Source organism: Homo sapiens, chromosome 8 (assembly GCF_000001405.40).
Source record: "Homo sapiens chromosome 8, GRCh38.p14 Primary Assembly".
NCBI classification, from domain to species: Eukaryota; Metazoa; Chordata; class Mammalia; order Primates; family Hominidae; genus Homo; species Homo sapiens.
Genome location: NC_000008.11, coordinates 85,642,164 through 85,648,485, shown reverse-complemented (window position 1 = coordinate 85,648,485; position 6,322 = coordinate 85,642,164). Strand labels below are relative to the sequence as shown.

General features: G+C 51.6%; 1 pseudogene; it reads left to right on the top strand.

Annotated features, from left to right (window-relative positions):
- REXO1L8P (REXO1 like 8, pseudogene) lies at positions 4,821 to 5,956 on the top strand (annotated as a pseudogene).

Here is a 6,322-nt window from a genome sequence, read left to right as displayed (position 1 = left end):
ATTTCGAGTCACTACAACCTCTGCCTCCCAGGTTGAAGTGATTCTCCTGCCTCACCTGAGATTAGAGGCATGTACCGGCATGTCCGGCTAATTTTGTGTTTCTAGTAGAGATGGGGTTTCACCATGTTGGCCAGGCTGGTCTTGAACTCCAACAATTCTAATTCAACTAATTTATTTTATAGAAATATTTATGTGTGAGAAACAATATTTTCAAGAGTCAAAGATTTAAAACTGCTTAATTGTACATCACTAAGTGGCTGGCTAATAAATTATAGTACGTTCATCCTTACGGAAGAATACTTTGCAGCTAAAACAGAACGAAAGAGAGGAAACTCTTCAAAATGTTAACTGGGAATGACGTTCAAGACTTATTGTTAAATAAAACAAATTGAGAAGAAGAGTCGTTTATTGGTACTAAATTTGTGTCAGTAAAAATGGATTCTATACGTGGGATGGTTTATAAGTATGTGGAAAAATTCTTTGATGGTTTTTCCTTGAAAAAGTGAAACCTAAATCCACTCCGTTTGGATGTGGGACTATTTACGGTTGTTGCTTCCTAAACATGAACTACGTTTAGGCTGATATTTCAGACAATGAAACCTTTGAGTGCCCGTAGCGGGAAGATCTCGGTTGCTGAGTGCAGGGAAGGAGGATGTAATTCCATCATATATACTCTCTGTGCCTACCGCATTTGGAACCATGCGAGTGATACCTATTTATAAAATAAAATAAACCAAGCAAAAGTACGAACTTAGCAACACTATATTGAGTTAATAGAACGGTATCTTGTATTTCTTCTGTCCAGGTATACTTATAAATGCCTGCAGGGATTTCACCACCTCAGGGTGGAGGGACTGAATGCTTGTGAGGGAATTAGGATGGTGGAATATTGGTGTTACCAGGGAAGGGGGCGGGATGTTTGAAAATGCTATGTTTACTCGTTCTTGGGTTCCAATAAAGGAGAAACAGGGCACAGGAGTCGGAAGGACTAGTGGCAATAGTGATGAAAGGACCTCCTTATCATGCTGGCAATGTTAATTACCCAGGTGTAGGAAGCCATACACTGAGGCGGAAGATCGCAAGTCAGAGTGGCCGGCAGGCACAACCTCCTGGCACACCAGAGGCAGGTCTTCAATACCCACTGGTTTCCCCAACAGGCTGCGTAAGGGACCCTGAGCCACAGTGAGTTGGTCAAATGCTCCTGACAGTGTGGAGAAACCAACAGACAAAACGTGGGTGCAAAAGTGATGAGACCCCACACTTTACACTCGTGGTGACAATGAAGCTATTAAGTAACAGCTTCTCAACCTATGCTGTTTCCTGTTGGATGCACATAATCCATTTGCACTGCAGACAATTTTAGGATGTGGTTTACAGTAAGGTGGATGGTACCTTATGGCAAAAATCTCTCAGAAATTTATGTGTGGTTTTAAAGTCATTCCAGTCCTAGCACGTTGTGCTTTTCAGAGACGCCATAGCTGTTTTTCCCTTTGTAATATCAAAGCAGTAATATGTTCTCTGGAGGCCTGTTGGGTGAATTTAATGGAATCAAGTTAAGTAGGTGCCAGAACCATTGCTGTTTTCCCTCCATAGCCCTGCCACCCACTGTAAAAAGGTTGATGAGATTACTTAATGATTTCCAATTAAGTTGTATTTCCAAATATCATGATTTCCATTTTAATGTAGTTGGTATGGAGCTCTGTGAGTGTGTGCTTCTTTTATTATGGATCACGTTCAGCTTCTTTTTATTTGCCTCCTAGTCATAATAGTAAAACTCTACTCCTCTACTCCGAGGAGTCCCTACCACCCATCTCATCACTTTCCAGCCCAGCACTCTTCATGCTCATTCATTTAAAGCATTCAACATTGTGTAAATGAATCTTGGAAGGCAAAAGCTACTGAATTTAGCGAATTTGTGGAGGCATTGCCACAAATCAGCCAGGTGAAGTTTCACACAATCGAAGACTGCACAACTCCTAGAAGGCAGCACTATGCTGCAAACCCAGACGGCCACTCTTCTCACCCCTCGTCCGTTTGCTGTTCTGGATAATGAGGTTCAAAAGTCACCTAGGCAACTGCCAAAATAGCTGAAATGGAGAAAGGGCTTCAGGCTGGTGACTAGCAGAGGTCCACCTGACCCCCGTAAGCTGCTGAACAAGTAGGGCTGCCAGAAATGTCCCACTAGGGAATTTGGTAGAGACGAAGACATGCTCACCGGACAAGGGTTCCTCCCAGGATACGCCCGAGCGGAAGAAGCGGGCTCTGAGCCACGCCCTTTCACCCTCCTCTACCCCGCCCTGGGCTGGTGAAGGTGCGCGCCAGGATGTGGACTACCGAGCCCTGAAGAAATAAGTCCTTCCACTTTGACCCCATGGAGGATTGCCTGTGAGGAACTTAAACGAGTCTACCAGTGTCTAGACACGGGGGCAGGTCTGTCCGGCACAGCAGCTCCCTCAAGGAGGAGAAGAGTGAGGAGAAAGGAAACTCAAGTCTCACCATTCTGTCCTGGGAGAGAAGAGGAGGATCTCATCTCTCATCTGTCCAAACAAGTCAAGGAGACTTTCTCTCATCTTTCCAAGCAAGGCAAGGAGACTTTTTATCATTAGGAAACAAAAAGAATTTAGAAGGAATGAAAGCAGCCCGTAAGGTGAATTCCTAAGGACTGCCCATTGAAACTGACAAAATTGCCCTTGTTTGATGAGAGGAATGAGCAGAGCATTGATGTGGTGAACAAGGATCTAGTGAGACTTTCCCAGCATGTTTCTACCAAAGCTTTATCTAAGCTTCTCAGAACACTCTCCTAATAAGCAGATGTTTGGCCTTTCAGAAAGTCAACAAGCAAAATGCCTTGAGTGTCCCAAAACACTGATGCCATGATGTGGGCTCCTGACTGGCCTCCTTTTCCTTTGACTGGACCGCTGCCACCTCTTGGTAGCCATCGCTTTCATGATGCTTTGCCTTGGAGATCATATTGGTGAAGCCATGTTCCAACTGCCGCTTACAATTTGTCAGAGGGATGCGTCAGGATCGTGATCCCTCCTGTTTAAAATTTCCACTGATAGCTCTCGTCGTAACTGCAGCTGATCTGGGCACAGTGGTTTTCACAGCCACTGCAGGATTCATCTTCCACATCTTCTCACCTCTTCTTGAAACAAGCTATACATTCGTAAAGAGTTCATTTCCTTGGGGTAGTGTCCTTATAAGCTTTTCTTAATACATCAATGATTTCTTCATTCTTCCACCCAAGCTTCACCATAAATTTGATGTTTCCTCTTGCTGCAATTTTCGTGGAATTCATATTGCTCTGACGGGAGTCCTTTTCAGTGGATGTCTCATCCTTCTTAGTGCCTCAAACTAGATCTAGTTCAGAAAGTTTATAAGAAGTTAGGACAAGTTTATTTTAGTGCAAACCAGTGGAAATCCATGCATAGTTTCTTCACCATGTGCATTTTCTATGAACCTTTGGAAGACCCCCTGTGTTGAACATTGCCCAACTCCTGGGAGAGAAGTGGGTGCGGTCCACTTCCTGTCCTCAATTTGTCCGCAGCGGAGGAGTGCACAGAGCAAGGAAAGGCAACCCCAGAGAGATCCTGCCCTCCAGCATGCAGCAGACTGCTGGCCCAGTCCTGGCTCCATTGGGTGCTGTGTGGGCCCAAGCAAGTTGACCAACCTCCCTGAACCTTAATTTAATCCTAGGTAGCCCAATTCCAGTAGCCATTATAGGACTGCCCTGCAGGGACAGTTACTTAACTCAGGAAAAGCAACCTAGCTCCAAGTTTAGCAACCGGGAGCTCCAGTTGATTCCATTAGCGCACCCCCTGAGGCATTCCCAAGCTGGAGTCTGGTGGAAGATGAGGCTCAGGGTGATTGGACTGAAGCACCAACCTATCAAGGAGAAGTCCCACCCAGTCTGCCCTGTGCGTATATAAAGGCGACGCGTGGCGGCCGCAGCACTCATTGAAGCCGCCAGTTGGGAGAGGAGCAGAGCCAGGCCGGTGCTCCCGAAGGCAGCAAGATGTTGCGAGCCACAGCTCCCTGCTGGTTCCCACCTGGATACCCAGAAACTAAGAAGGTGGCCGAGGAGGCGGCCCTCGAGGCTCCAGAATTCCCACTGCCCTCTCATCAGCCTGCCCAGAGCTTCGGGCTCTGGGTGCCCCAGATGCACAAGCAGGCCTCAGCATTTGTGGACATCCAGGCAGAGCCCCAGAACAGGGGTCCGGCGGTGCCCCCAGCGTGGCCCAAGATGGTGACGGAGTCGTGCTACTTCCCTGCGCAGAGGGGATCGGCCTGCCGCTTGCCAGCCGCCCCAAGGCTGACAGAGAGGCCCTCGGGAGTCCGCATCTCAGCCCCCAGGAAGAGGAAGACGATCGCCCACTCTTCCAGCCCTTGCTTGGTCACAGGTTACACAGATGCCAAGAGAACCCGGGTGGCCAGCAGTAGCCAACGCTCCAGTGGCTCCAAGGTCGGCAGACAGCCAGGGAAGACGCGCAACAGGTCAGGGATGGCATGCAAGACCACCGCCACCATCAGCTCTAAGCGAATCGTCCGTCGTCCATCCTTACCGAGTTTGAAGAAACCCATTATCCTCCGAAGCTCTGGGTGCCAAGTCCCCACCGTCCTCCGCCGAGGCTATCTCCAACTGTTCACCGAAGAGTGTCTCAAGTTCTGCGCCTCCAAGCAGGAGGCCGAGGAGAAGGCGCTGAACGAGGAGAAGGTGGCCTACGACTGCAGCCCCAACAAGAACAGGTACCTGAACGTGGTCCTGAACACCCTCAAGAGACTGAAGGGCCTGACCCCCAGCTCCATGCCCGGCCTCAGCAGGGCCGCCCTGTACAGCCGCCTCCAGGAGTTCCTGCTCACCCAGGACCAGCTCAAGGAGAACGGCTACCCCTTCCCGCACCCCGAGCGGCCCGGAGGCGCCGTCCTCTTCACTGGCCAGGGGAAGGGGCCCGGCGACTCCTCCTGCAGGGTCTGCTGCCGTTGTGGCACCGAGTACCTGGTGTCCTCCTCGGGCCGCTGTGTACGCGACCAGTTGTGTTATTATCACTGGGGGCGGGTCCGCTCGAGCCAGGTGGCTGGAGGCCGGGTTAGCCAGTACACCTGCTGTGCAGCTGCTCCTGGCTCTGTGGGCTGCCAGGTGGCAAAGCAGCACGTGCGGGACGGCCGCAAGGAGAGCCTCGATGGCTTCGTGGAGACCTTCAAGAAAGAGTTGTCCAGAGACGCTTATCCAGGAATCTACGCCTTGGACTGTGAGATGTGCTACACCACGCATGGCCTAGAGCTGACCCGCGTCACCGTGGTGGACGCCGACATGCGAGTGGTGTACGACACCTTCGTCAAGCCCGACAACGAGATCGTGGACTACAACACCAGGTTTTCCGGAGTCACCGAGGCCGACGTCGCCAAGACGAGCATCACGTTGCCCCAAGTCCAAGCCATCCTGCTGAGCTTTTTCAGCGCCCAAACCATCCTCATCGGGCACAGCCTGGAGAGCGACCTGCTGGCCCTGAAGCTCATCCACAGCACCGTGGTGGACACGGCCGTGCTCTTCCCGCACTACCTGGGTTTCCCCTACAAGCGCTCCCTCAGGAATCTCGCGGCCGACTACCTGGCACAGATCATCCAGAACAGCCAGGACGGCCACAACTCCAGCGAGGACGCAAACGCCTGCCTGCAGCTGGTGATGTGGAAGGTCCGACAGCGCGCCCAGATCCAGCCACGCCACCGGTCCGCCTCTCCCGCCGCCCTGGCCTGTCCTTAGCCCCAGGCCTCTTCCAAAACTGCCATTCGTCCCGAGAGCTCACCCTGCCCACCTCGCCGCAAAGCGAAAGAAACTGGAGCAGCAGGCGGCAGGAGAGGGCAAAAAGCCAAGACTATCCCCGACCCCCGACTCCCAGTGCCCCGGAGTCCCTGCAGCGGGCCGCCGTCCATGTCCCCATCGCTCTGCCCCTCCCAGACCTCTGTCCTTCAACCAATCGCCTCCCCGAGGCCCGAGCCCCAACTCCCATTCCCCCGGGTCGCTGCCAAGGCCCCTCGCGCCTGTCCCCATCCCTCTGCCTGTCGAAGACCTCTGTCGTTACACCACTAACCTCACTCAGCCCACCTGCACTTCCCTGGCCTCTGAGAACAAGGCCAGCCCCCAGGCCCACCAGCTTCCTGACAGTCTTCTCTCCTGGGCCTCTTCTCCTTCTGTGGGGCTTTCTGAACCTCCCCTACCGCACCCGATTTTTTCCCCACCCCCGGCGCAGGCGCAGAATAAATGGTTATATGAATTTTAAAATTTAAAATAAAAAAAATTAAGAACAACTCAGAGGCATTTGCT